General features: G+C 44.9%; 1 protein-coding gene across 7 annotated transcripts in view, besides 2 other annotated features; it reads left to right on the top strand.

The window, feature by feature from the left end:
- RFT1 (RFT1 glycolipid translocator homolog) overlaps window positions 1-13644 on the top strand; it is a 63583-nt gene that overhangs the window by 21561 nt on the left and 28378 nt on the right. For 6 of the 7 annotated variants that reach the window (XR_007095765.1, XM_011534215.4, XM_011534214.3 and 3 more), the window contains 4 exons: window positions 2006-2056; window positions 3072-3202; window positions 4778-4922; window positions 9389-9494. Coding sequence is in view for 6 of the 7 variants with exons in the window: in XM_011534215.4 (XP_011532517.1) it covers window positions 2006-2056; window positions 3072-3202; window positions 4778-4922; window positions 9389-9494 (433 nt within the window). In the remaining variant the exon portion in view is untranslated. Of the gene's footprint in view, window positions 1-2005; window positions 2057-3071; window positions 3203-4777; window positions 4923-5608; window positions 5681-9388; window positions 9495-13644 lie in introns of those variants that run through there. The other variant, XM_005265537.5, reaches the window with a different exon arrangement.
- Window positions 5559-6060: an enhancer, noted in NCBI's record as "NANOG hESC enhancer chr3:53136831-53137332 (GRCh37/hg19 assembly coordinates)". NCBI's record gives its function as "activates a minimal SCP1, AML or CMV promoter by ChIP-STARR-seq in primed H9 embryonic stem cells {active_cell/tissue: H9 hESC(primed)}" and the evidence as "EXISTENCE:reporter gene assay evidence [ECO:0000049][PMID:30033119]".
- Window positions 6060-6109: an enhancer, noted in NCBI's record as "active region_19952". NCBI's record gives its function as "activates an Ori minimal core promoter by ATAC-STARR-seq in GM12878 lymphoblastoid cells {active_cell/tissue: GM12878}" and the evidence as "EXISTENCE:reporter gene assay evidence [ECO:0000049][PMID:35858748]".

Genomic DNA, 13644 nt, shown 5'->3' with positions numbered 1-13644 from the left:
TAGCACAGTGAAACCCCATCTCTACTAAAAATACAAAAATTAGCTGGGCGTGGTGGCAGGCGCCTGTTATCCCAGCTACTCGGGAGGCAGAGGTTGCAGTGAGCCCAGATAGCACCATTGCACTCCAGCTTGGGCGACAAGAGCGAAACTCTGTCTCAAAAAAAAAAAAAACCATTTAAAGATATGAAAGCAAGCTGGGTGTGTTGGCTTATGCCTGTAATCCCAGCACTTTGGGAGGCCGAGGTGGGAGGTCAGGAGTGCAAGACCAGTCTGGCCAACATGGGGAAACCCCGTCTCCACTAAAAAATAAAAAAAAACATTAGCTGGGGATGGTGGCGGGTGCCTGTAATCCCAGCTACTCAGGAGGCTGAGGCAGAAGAATCGCTTGAACCCAGGAAGCAGAAGTTGCAGTGAACGAGATCGTGCCACTGCACTCCAGTCTGGGTGACAGATCAAGACTATGTCTCAAAAAAAAAAAAAAAAAAGATATGAAAGCAGAGACTGATTTAAGAGCTGTGTTTGAGGCCAGGCACAGTGGCTCACACCTGCAATCCAAGCACTTTGGGAGGCCAAGGCAGGTGAATCACTTGAGGTCAGGAGTTCGAAACTGGCCTGGCCAACATGGTGAAACCCATCTACTAAAAATACAAAAAAAAAAAAGTGCTGGGCTTGGTGGTGGACACCTGTAATCCCAGCTACTCAGGAGGCTGAGGCAGGAGAATCTCTTATGTCTGGGAGGCAGAGGTTGCAGTGAGCTGAGATCGCGCCACTGCACTCTAGCCTGGGCGACAGAATAAGACTCTGTCTCAAAACAACAACCACAACAAAACAAAACTGTATTTGCAGAAGCTGGAACTGTTAGCAGTGAGGGTGGATCCAAGCAGCACAGAGACACAGGCCTGTGAGGACCTGCAGTGGTCCCTACCACAAACACAGTGGCAGGGGCTTGGAGAGAGAGTCAGGGTGGGAGAAAGTCTTGAGAGAAGATCCTCACTGCTTCTAGCCTCTTGATGCTTTCCTTTTTTAGCAAGTTACTAGGAGGTGAGAATTTGCCCTTCAGGGCGTGGGCACTGTTTAGTGCTCCTTTTCCATAGTGGTCAACACTTTTTCTTCATAGATGAGAAACTTCATGAAAGCCAAGGGGATGGGGGCCCTGGCTGGTGTCTTCACCTTGAAGGCATTAGACTGTCTTAAATTTGAATCATGAACTCAGACGTGAGTTCATGATTCAAATCTAAGACAGTCTAATGCCTTGCCAGCCCCCAGGGAGCTGTCTCCACCCCTGAGGAACCTTTGGATAAGCTTGTGCATATAATCATGGACTCTTCACAGATAATTTACGCTCAGATTATCTGACCTCCCCTTAAGACTTGGGACTATCATCTTCATTATTAACATTTAATAATCTCCACATACTTTTTTAAAAACTTATTTTTAGGGCTGGGCGTGGTGGCTTACGCCTGTAATCCCAGCACTTTGGGAGGCTGAGGTGGGCAGATCACGAGGTCAGGAGATCGAGACCATCCTGGCTAACACAGTGAAACCCCATCTCTACTAAAAATACAAAAAAAATTAGCCGGGTGCGGTGGCGGGCGCCTGTAGTCCCAGCTGCTCGGGAGACTGAGGCAGGAGAATGGCATGAACCCAGAAGGCAGAGCTTGCAGGGAGCCGAAATCGTGCCACTGTACTCCAGCCTGGGTGACAGAGCGAGACTCCGTCTCAAAAAAAAAAAAAAAAACCTTTTTAGACTTGTTTTATTTTTATTTTTTTTTATTTGTAATTTAACTGGCTTGGAGATTTGCTGTCAATAAAGTCCTCAGCACTTTCCAAATTGTTACTCTGAGATTATTTGAAATCAACATTAGGACAAGGACATGTCTTTAACTGATTACCTAGTATTTCTCCTTTATTTGTCAGCTGGAAAAGTTGATAGCTGGTGAGAGAAAGGAAACAATAAAGTAATGTGCATTTGACATTGCTAATTATTTTGCTTTTTTGTTTATAGGCGAGCGATATGTGATGACATTTTTGAATGTATTGAACTTTGGTGATCAGGGTAAGATGAAATTCTGTAGTGTTTTAATTAAAGGTGAACACTATTAATAGATACTTCCTAATATTTTTCTCTGATATATTTAATGAAAGATGAACCTGAAGATTAAAGAAAATCCTGAAGATTGTAAATTGTAGGTCTTTGTACTGACTATGCCCTCCAACATGACTTTGGTGTCAGGTATTCTGGTGAGACCCCGGCCCTCTATTTTGCCTCCTGAGAGCTCTGGTGTTCATTTTGGGAGGTGGGAGGTGCCAAGAGAGGAGAAAAGGGAGCTCACTGTCACAGCCACAAAAATCTGCCCCATGTTTGTGTGGCTAGATAGTCTTTCAGTATTTTCATTTTTATCTTTTAATGTAATCCCAAAGTAACTGAAATCAAATAGAAAAACATCAACTTTGCATTAATGACCTGTATAAGAAAGTACTGTTGATGGAAGCATTCTGTATCTTGACTGTATCATCGTTGGTATCCTGGTTGTGATATTGTACTATAGTTTTACAAAATGTTACCACTGGGTAAAGGGTATATATGGGATCCCTCTATTACTTCCTATTTTTTTGTCTTTTTTATTTATTTTTTATTTTTTGAGACAGGGTCTCATTCTATTGCCCAGGCTGGAGTGCAGTGGTACCATCACAGCTCACTGCAGCCTCAACCTCCTGGGCTTGGGTGATCCTCCCACCTCAGCCTCCCAAATAACTGGGACTACAAATGCACACCACCACGCCTGGCTAAATTTTTCCATTTTTGTAGAGACAGGGTTTTTCCGTGTTTCCCAGGCTCATCTCAAACTCCCTGGCTCAAGCAGTCCACCCACCCTGGCCTCCCAAAGTGCTGGGATTATAGGCATGAGCCACCGTGCCTGGCCACTATTACTTCTTATAACTCTGTGTGAATCTATAATTATCTCAAGATAAACAAACTTTAATGAAAATATTAAATAATTTTAATAGTGCTATAAAAATTAAAATAGAAAAACCAACATGATTGTTGTTTCTTCTTTTTTGTTTTGTAGGTGTGTATGATATAGTGAATAATCTTGGCTCCCTTGTGGCCAGATTAATTTTCCAGCCAATAGAGGAAAGTTTTTATATATTTTTTGCTAAGGTGCTGGAGAGGGGAAAGGATGCCACACTTCAGAAGCAGGTAATGTTGGTTCTTATGTCATCTCTCAAGTGAATTCTCCCTTTAATTGCAAGACAGACAGGAGTGTGAAGCAGTCTGTTTCTCTTCTGTTTGATCAGGAATTTTCTTATAGATTTCATTCTTCTATTACATTCTTCATGATAGTGGGACCCAGGGCTCACCTCTTCTTTCGTGGCCTTCTTGCTTTGCTCTTGGCTGTCCCTTCCTTCTCACACCTTTGTTATTCGTTGTGACCTTACTCTTTTTGGGGGGGGGGGCGGGGATAGAGTCTTGCTCTGACGCCCAGCCTGGAGTGCAGTGGCATGACCTCGGCTCACTGCAACCTCCACCTCCCAGGTTCAAACGATTCTCCTGCCTCAGCCTCCTGAGTAGCTGGGACTACAGGCATGCGCCACCACACCCAGCTAATTTATGTATTTTTAGTAGAGATGGGGTTTTGCCATGTTGGCCAGGCTGCTCTTGAACTCCTGACTTCAGGCAGTCTGCCCACCTCAGCCTCCCAAAGTGCTAGGATTACAGGTGTGAGCCCCCATACCTGGCCATGTGACCTTACTCTTGATCCAGCCCTCTCAGGACTCTAAAGCTGTCCCCATTGCCCTGCAGATGCCCAGCCATGGGCTAGTCTTAGGCGTAAGAATGCTTCCCTTATCCTCAGAGTCTCAAGAGCCAAAGGATGCAGAAGTTGGAGCCAGGCTAATCAAGGGCATAGGGAGGAGAGGAAGTGGTTGTTGGCTTTCGCTCACCACACCAATTATTTAAGCTTCTTACAACTGGGACATGCCCAGAGCTACACTCTGACTGTAAGATTCTGTATACTCGGGTTGGTAAATACAGAAGAAGAGATTTTAATCTAGGAGTATTTTGTTGTAGGAGCTTCACTTTTTCCAAAACCACTGAAAATGTCTGACTTTTCTTAGAATAGCAAGCTAGTTCAGCCTCTTGCTTGTCTTAGAAGAAATTTAGTAAAATACAGTTTATGCACAATATCTCAAAATGAGCTAATCTGGTACTCAGTCTGATTTAGGAATATTTTCCTAAGAGTACCTTCACAGTATCATCATAATTTTGGAATGTTTAGCAGGAGAAGCACAGAGCTGGCTAGTGTATATGAAAACTTGCTGCACATTTAAGAATAAATATTAGTGGTCTGGTGCAGTGGCTCATGCCTGTAAGCCTCACGCTTTGGGAGGCCAAGGCAGGAGGATTGCTTGAGGCCAGGAGTTTGAGATTAGCCTGGTCAACATAGTGAGACTCCCTTCTCTATTTCTATTTAAAAAAAAAAAAAAGAACAAATATCAGAGGGGAAAGTGAGTGTTTCCTAAGCAATATTTGAAACAATTTATCCCAAGTGAATTGAAAACTAACCCTCCCCCTTACGACCTAAGGAGACACACACTTTTTCCTTCATTTGCTAACTGACGTGAAAACAAACACACTACAAAAAAATAGTGATATCCATCACGCTGTTGGAAGAGTGAACTGTAAAACAGTGAAGGGAGAAGGCCAGACGTGAAGGATGAAGGTTTTCTTCAGCTCATGATTCATCCAACTTCCTTCCCTCTTCCCTGGCCCCAGGAGGACGTTGCTGTGGCTGCTGCAGTCTTGGAGTCCCTGCTCAAGCTGGCCCTGCTGGCCGGCCTGACCATCACTGTTTTTGGCTTTGCCTATTCTCAGCTGGCTCTGGATATCTACGGAGGGACCATGCTTAGCTCAGGATCCGGTACGCACAAGAGTTTTTCTGGATTTTTTCTGATTTCCCAACATAAATAGAAGAGTCACGAAATTCAAGAACTTGTGCACACACAGTTGTTATCTGTGTCAGTGTAGGGAAAACTGTCTGGTGGCAGGGGCTGTGGGACTGTTCCCCTCGTTCAACTCCAGACACACACTCAAGGTATAGGCAGGGGCGTTGGCGCCAGGACAATCAGCTTCCCCAGCCTCACTTGGAGAAGTTATTAGGACTTCTCCTTGCTGTTGGCTTTCCTCTCGGGCCTAGAATGTGTTTTGCCAAGCGCTTCCCTGTGCTCCCTCTGGGGTGAGGGAGGAAGGCAGAGGGCAGACGGTAATGAGTCTCCACTTGGTACTAAACACATCTGAAGATAGTAAATGCCACATAAATCTCCCAGCCTAGTGCATAAAAGCCTCTGAAGGATAACCCAAAGCCATTTGCAGAGAATAAAATTGATCTCTGCAAATAAAATGGTATATTTAATCCAGTGACTCTCAGTTTTTGAAGAAGAAAAGTATTGAATGTGTCTAATTTTGAAACACCAGGCCGCTGAGGATCTCACAGCACTTGTTAGGTCTTGGGGACTTCATCAATTTCAAAATGTGCTGGGCTGTAAGCTGGCAGTCCATTTGCAGTGCTTCATCTTGGGTTTAGCAAAGATGTTTTTAATTTCTCAGGTCGCTGGACAAGAACGCTGAGGACTTCTTTCTGCTGCCCCATCTCAATATAAAGGGCTTTGTCAAATGCCATTTTACAAGTTCACTAGCATGTTTTAGTCTCCACTACAATGGGGCCCAAACTTTTGGTGTTAGGGGAGGAAGGGCCAGGTTTCTATACCAGAGCAAAGGTCATTAAGTTTGGAGAAACACCTGCTGTGAAACCAGTGAAGTGGTTTGCAGCTCCCTGGGGCTTGTGCTGTGAGAAGTGTATTTCCATCTGGCAGCTGTGGGGAGGCCTCATGAGGAAGGCATTAGTAAGTTTATGGGCAGAGATTGGGAACTCGACTATTCTGTAGCAGCTCTTCCCCTTTAGAAAGCAATCACCAAGGAGCAGCCTCTAATGTCACACAATCACAGGGCGTTGCCTCAAGGAGGGGGCTGTCCCATCATTATCATGACTCAGCCCATCATCTTAGTTTTGAAAGTGGAACTCGCAACACTGCTGTCCCCAGTTGTGTACTTGTCTTTGTCTTCACCCTGGAAGTGGACTACTTACCTGTGAGCTGTACTGGCCATCTCCAGATGTGGGACTCGGACACAGCACGGACAGGCTTTTGTGTAGGGGTGTGGCTTCTCTTCCGTTGTTTGGGATTAGCCCTGCATTTAATTAGGGTCTTTGTAAGTGTTCTAGAGGCTTTTCTTAGAAATCCTTCTCACACCTAGCTTTGCTTTGCTTTTTCTTTTCTTTTCTTTTTTCTTGGTAACTCACAGAACAACACCTAGCTTTTCTATCCTTAAGCAAAACCCACACATTCACAGAATTTCCCCAAGATTTCTTACATTTCTCTCTTAGGTGCTTCTCTCTTGTCCCTCTGCCTTTTACTTTTTTCCTTCTCTATCCCCTTGTCTTAATGAACTAGGGCTGCCATGACAAAGTACCACAGACTGCGTGGCTTTAAACAACAGAACATATTGTCCGTCAGTTCTGGAGGCCAGAAGTGCACAATGAAGCTATGGCCAGGGCCGTGTTCTCTCTGAAGGCTCGAGGAGAGGCCCCTTCCTACCTCTTCTAGTTGCTAATGGTTGCTGGCATCCTGGCGTTCCTTGACTTGCAGCTGCAGTACTGCGGTCACATGGCTGTGTTCTCTCTGTCTTCACGTCATCATCCCCCTTGCGCTCTTCACGTCATCATCTCCCTGCACGTGTCTGCCTCAATGCAAGTTTCCCCCACTTTTTTTTTTTTTTAGTGAGATGAAGTCTCACTCTATCACCCAGGCTGGAGTACAGTGGTGTGATCTCGGCTCACTGCAGCCTCCACCTCCCGGGTTCAAGAGACTCCCGCCTCAGCCTCCCGAGTAGCTGAGATTACAGGCACACCCTACCACACCCGACTAAGTTTTTGTATATTTAGTAGAGACGGGGTTTCGCCATGTTGGCCAGGCTGGTCTCAAACTCCTGACCTCAGATGATCTGCCCCCCTTCAGCCTCCCAAAGTGCTGAGATTACAAGCATGAGCCACTGCACCTGACCAAGTTTCCCCTTTTTATAAGGACACCTGTCATATAGGATCAGGGCCTGCCCTAATGACCTCATTTTAACTCAGTTTTCTTCATGAACACCCTGTTTCCAAATAAGGACAGATTCTCAGGTACCACTGGTCAGGACATTAACATATCTATTTTGGGGGGACAGTTCAACTTAAAACACCCCTCAATTCAGTCTACAATCGAAGGTTGGTTCCATTCTTGAATTCCCCAAATGGACACAAAACCCTTTACGTGAGTCACTGATTGGTGCCAGAGTTTGTGTTCTCCATGCCTCACGACAGCCCACTGTTCACCTACTGATGGGCCCTCCTGTGCCATTAGCGTTCAGTTACCACGTAAGGAGGCCCCCCACTCTTCTCTGCTTCTGCCAGGGAGAGGAGGTTGGGGAGAAGCAGGAGGCACACTTGAGCATAGCCTTGAGCCTCCCGGGTGCAGAGCCTGGTCCCCGCCTCCCTTCCTGGAGTCACCGTCAGCTGGGGTGGGGGCCAGGCTACTTCCTGCAGCGGCTTGACAAGCAAAATGCAATGTGAGGTGATAAACATGGAATCTGAGACAGGGCCGTGGAAAACGGTTTTTTGTTGAGCGTCGGGGCTGCCCTGTTAGTATTCCTTTTATAATTTTGTGACTGCCATAAAACTGTTTAGGGGTCCCACAGCATGGAGATCTTTTGTATTAAACAGCTTTCATAAACCCTGAATGAGTTCCAGATTCTGAGACTCCGGAACTTCAGTCCCCCTCCTTTTCTTTCAGTGGTTATGTGTTTTTTTTGGGAGTTTTTTTTCTCCCTTTGTTGAGGTATAATTTACATAAAGTAAAATGCTGTTCTCTTAAGAGTACAGTTTGGTAAGTTTTGACAAATATGTACAAAAAATCCCATGTAACTACCAAACAGATTCAGACATAGAATATCTCCATTTCCCCAGAAAGTTCTTTTGGGACCCTTTCTAGTCAACTACCCCACTCCACCTCAGAGACAAAGAGAAATCAGAAGAAATCTGATTTCTATCACCATGGATCAGTATTTCTTTTAAAAGTAATTTTATATCAATGAAATGCAGCATGTGCGCTCTTGCATTTGGCATATTTCCTTCAATATAAAGTTTTTGAGATTCTTCCATGGTTTCGCATGGATCAGTGATTTTTATTATCTTTTCTTGCTAAGTATTCCTTTGTGTGGATGGCCCACGTTTTGTTTATTCTTTCTTCTGTTGATGGTCAGTTTTGGCTATTATGAATCAAACTGCTACAGATGCTTTTGTGTAAGTGTTTTTGTGAACATGTGTGTTCATTTCTGTTGGATATATACCTAGGGGTGCAATTGCTGGGTCGTAGGTTAGGTGTTTGTTTATTTTATTAGGTGCTTGATTATGGCCCTCTTAAAAGGGGGGAATCAATCCCATTTGTAAGCCTCCTGTTCTCTGCTTAGAAGATTTTTCCGAAGCTTGTTAGCTATAGAACTGCATTACTTTGTTTTAGAAGAAAATACTATTATGGGCACTGGTTCTCACTTTGGATTTGTGTAATTTTCTGCTGGTCCTGGGCCCCTGGCTTTTGTTAAAGGTCTTTTCTTCAGGACCTGCTCAACTGAGATTCCCTTAACATGCAGGGTCACTACTGACTTTGAGTCCAAACCAGCAGGCCTATTCATGCTGATGAAAAAAGGGAACAGACTTGCTTGCTAGCCAGATAAGCTTTTAGTTGTCCAGCAAGAGATCTGTACATTTATTCATAATTGTTCTTTTTTGTGTGTGTGATAAGGTCTTGTTCTGTCACCCAGGCTGGAGTGCAGTGGCACTATCATGGCTCACTGCAGCTCTGACCTCCCCAGACTCAGGTGATCCTCCCACCTCAACCTCCCGAGTAGCTGGGACTACAGGCATGCCCACCACACACAGCTAACTTTTGTATTTTTGGTAGACACGGGGTTTCATCATGTTGCCCAGGCTGGTCTCTAACCTCTGGGCTCTAGCAGTCTGCTGGCCTTGGGCCTCCCAAAGTGCTAGGATTACAGGTGTGAGCCACCGTGCCCAGCCTGTCATTTTGTTTTTTGCTGATTATTTAGTCAATGCCATAGAATGTTGGGAATCCTTCTAGATTATTAAGACCCTGGGCTCTAGCATGCAGTCTGCCCATTGCTGATACCAGCAGACCTCATAGTCTGGTTCTGGTTCTCTGGGTACTCAGCAGCACTGAGGGTACATGTGGGCCTTCTGATTGGGCTCTGGAGTCTCAGTGAGTTGTTTCCTTGTAGGTCCTGTTTTGCTGCGTTCCTACTGTCTCTATGTTCTCCTGCTTGCCATCAATGGAGTGACAGAGTGTTTCACATTTGCTGCCATGAGCAAAGAGGAGGTCGACAGGTGGGTAACCTAGCAGGTACACCTTTAATCATGGCCTTCAGCCAAAATGAAATAACTTGTCAAGCTTTTTGCTTTTCGTTCTGAACATGCATTTACAGATGGCTGTTTTAGAGGCAACACTTAGTCCACCAGTGTGGTGCTCCCCTGGGATCTCTGTGGCACCAGCATGGTTCAGCAAGTGCTCCCCACTGTAGGGCTGGGAGGCAGCAACTACTCTTTGCCTCCCCTTTGTGGAGGAAGAAACATCGGCTCTGAAAGGTTACATTAGTCCAGGTTTGCAGAGTCAGGCACCAGACAAGCTAGATTTCCATTCCTCCACCTCCTTGCTCACCCCAGAAGAGTGGTCCTCCAGTAAGTTACTGAGGAGCTTCTTCAAGATGCACATTCCTACCCCTGAGAACCTGATTGGTGGGTCTTTGAGAATCTCAGGGATTCTGTGACACTTCTCCTGAGAAAAGCCCAAGTGCACACATACATCTCATCTTGCCATAATTTTTTCTCAACTCTTGACTCCAGATCAGGATTCCTGTCCTGGAATCCCCTACCAGTGGTTCTTTTTTTTTTTTTTTTTTTTTTTTTGAGATGGAGTCTCGCTCTGTCGCCCAGGCTTGAGTGCAGTGGCGCAGTCTCTGCTCACTGCAAGCTCTGCCTCCCAGGTTCACGCCATTCTCCTGCCTCAGCCTCCCAGGTAGCTGGGACTACAGGCGCGTGCCACCATGCCTGGCTAATTTTTTGTATTTTTAGTAGAGATGGGGTTTCACCGTGTCAGCCAGGTTGGTCTCGATCTCCTGACCTTGTGATTCTCCCGCCTTGGCCTCCCAAAGTGCCGGGATTACAGGCATGAGCCACCGTGCCCAGCCTCATGGGGGTTTTCATGCTGCCTCTGTAACCTTGATTGCTGGTGAGGGCCCTCAGAAGCCTGGCCATGGGGTGGGATGGGGAGGGAGTGTCTCAAATGGGGACCCTTCCCCCTCCTCTGTGTGTGTCCTTTCCTGCGCTGGCTCATGTAAAAGATTGGGGACTTTGTTTGCTACACAGTGACTGAGAACTAGAGTCCAGACCAGCAGGTCTCAGTCCAGACTGATGAGATTCATCTAGGAATTTCTGGTCCACTCCTAGCCAAGCTGAATTAGAATCTTAGAAGGCTTGAGCCAGGGAATCTGTTTATTACACAGCTCTAGGCAATTCTGATTCTAGGGCTTTGGAAACTGCTGGCCCAGACCAGCTTTCACAGTAAAAACGACACGGAGCACTGTGACCTAGGACGCACTTAGGTGTGTGTGACTGAGACATGAGTTCACAAGGCAGGAAGTACCCCAGTTATGCGTAGGACACGCTGATGCTTTCTACTCTCTCTTCTATTTTGTTTTTCAAAAATGCCATGCCATTACCCTCTAAATTGATTCCCAGCCTAGTAGGTCACAACCCATAGTTTTAAAATAGTAGTCTAGATGTGGTTTTCACCTCAGATAGTTAAATTTATAGCTTTAGAGTAGAACTGCTTTGAGTCTATCCTCTTCTTTCCCTATGGATGAAAAAGTCTATTTCAATTTAGCTTTGAAAATACAATGTTTTTATTTGAAAGCTACTTCTAACATTGAATAACTTAAAAATATAATTGGAAACATGTGAAATGAGGCACTGTTAGAGTGGAAAGAGCAGGACTAGGAGTGTATCTCCTTGAAGGGAATTTTGTTACGGTAACTTCAGTGTTAGTGTTGAAGGGGTGAATGAAAACCAAACCCATTTAAGATGTTTTTATACATTGCAACCAAATTGTGAGGGAATATGGATAGTGGCTGGTTGCTTTCTTTTCTCTTATATTGTATTGAACCAAAGGAAACAACTTTTTAAGTTAGCTGTAATGGAATTTCGATAGTATATAAACATGTGGAAAATTATTTTCATAGTATTAGTCAACATAGAGAAAAAACAGAGCCCAGAGCACCTTCTAGTGCAGTTCCCATGTGGGGTAACTCACCTCCCCTAAGAGTAAAATGTGATATTAAGTGCAGTTTTCAGACATGTATAAAACACAATAGTTCCAGTTCTTTCTGGGCCCCTGGCCCCAGCGCCTGGCCCTGGTCTGAGCACGTGGAATACCTGGGCTCATCACAGACGTTGGCATTTTTTTTTTTTAATCTCTGTGAATTTTAACAGACAAAAAACTCTAGCAAGGATTTTTATAGTAGAATTGGATAGCTTAGTTAACTGTTACAATCAATTATAATGACTTTGCATTGGACATTTCAGATTCTGAATAGAAAAAAAGCAGGCATTTTACTTAACCAACTTAAGGTTAACCAGTGTTTTTCTGAATAAAAATAGAGCATTTGGGCCGGGCACGGTGGCTCACACCTGTAATCCCAGCACTTTGGGATGCCAAAGCAGGTGGATCACCTGAGGTCAGGAGTTCGAGACCAGCCTGGCCAACATGGTGAAACCCTGTCTCTACTAAAAATACAAAAATTAGCTGGGCGTAGGGGCGCACGCCTGTAATCCCAGCTACCCGCGAGGCTGAAGCACAAGAATCACTTGAACCTGGGAAGCGGAGGTTGCAGTGAGCGGAGATCATGCCATTGCACTCCAGCCTAGGCAACAGAGAGATTCTGTCTCAAAAAATATATAGAGAGAAGAGAGCATTTGGTTGTATATGAAATATTAAAACATCCTTTGAATTGCAGGTTGCTTTTTTTTGAGACAAGAGTCTCGCTCTGTGGCCCAGGCTGGAGTACAGTGGTGTGATCTTGGCTCACTGCAGCCTCCGCCTCCCAGGTTCAAGTGATTCTCCCGACTCAGCCTCCCGATTAGCTGGGATTACAGGTGTGCGACCATGCCCAGCTAATTTTATTTTTATTTTTAGTAGAGACAGGGTTTCACCATGTTGGCCAGGCTGGTCTCGAACTCCTGACCTCAGGTGATCTGCCCATCTCAGCCTCCCAAAGTGCTGGGATTATAGGAGTGAGCCAACGTGCCCGGCCTGGTTGCTTTTTTTTTAATAACCTCATAATATATATAGAATCTGATTGATGGATTTTTCATTATGCCTTATTGAAGAATTTTTGTTGTTTTGTTAAGGCTGTCTAATTTTCTTTCATTTCGCAAATACTTTTGAGCATCTACTCTCTAACAGGCATTGTTTTAAGCTCTAGGAATACAGCAATGAATAAGACAGATGGGATTTCTGCTCTCCTGGAGCTGACGGTGGGGAGGCAGATAGCAAACAAGTAAATTAATAAGAAAATGTGATGTGCTGAGAATGAAAACGGGTATATAGTGAGTGGTAGGGGCCCTTTAGATTGGGTTTGCTGGGCAGGCCCCTATGGCACAGCGCCATTTAGGATGACCAAGAAGGTGGTCTAAGATGGGGGCAGAGACTTCTAGGCAGATCAGTTGTGTAAAGGCCCAAGATTGACAGCTCCTTTGTCTGATTTGTTGGCCTTTGAGTGCCAAAGTGGACTCCATAACTGTCAAATGAAGGCTGGGTATGATCTTCTCACTTTGGCACATAAGATATCAGTGCCATCCTTTTCATGGCTGTGAAGGCTCGATTGTATGGCTGTGCCTTGATGTATTCAACCAGCACCTGCTGGGGGCTTCTTCAGGTGGTGCTACAGTTGATATCCTCGACCATCCATGCCTTTTTTTTTTTTTTAACTTTTTTTGAGACAGGGTCTCACTCTGTCGCCCAGGCTGAAGTGCAGTGGTACAATCATAGCTCACTACAGCCTGACTTCTTAGGCTCAATCGATCCTTCCACCTCAACCTCCTGAGTAGCTGAGACTATAGGTGTGTACTACCATGCCCAGCTAATTTTTGTATTTTTTGTAGAGACGGAGTCTCTGGGCACCATGTTTCCCAGGCTGGTCTCCAACTCCTGGGCTCAAGCGATCTGCCTGCCTTAGCCTCCCAAATGCTGGGATTACAGGCATGAGCCACTGTGCCCAGCCAGTCCATCTTTTAATAAGCCTGATTTTAAGTCCAGTATTTTCTTGGGACCATGGAGAAATAAGTATTCATAAATAATTTACTGTTTATGTTAACCAAACCTTACAGGATAGTCATATTGTCACCGATTAATAATTTTGCTTTGATTTTAAAAAGTGATTTTTTTTTTTTAAGACGGAGTCTTGCTCTGTCTCCAGGCTGG

The sequence above is a fragment of the Homo sapiens genome, chromosome 3, assembly GCF_000001405.40.
Source record: "Homo sapiens chromosome 3, GRCh38.p14 Primary Assembly".
Taxonomy (NCBI): domain Eukaryota; kingdom Metazoa; phylum Chordata; class Mammalia; order Primates; family Hominidae; genus Homo; species Homo sapiens.
Note: the sequence above shows the minus strand (reverse complement) of the source record. Positions and strands in the feature narration are given on the sequence as shown.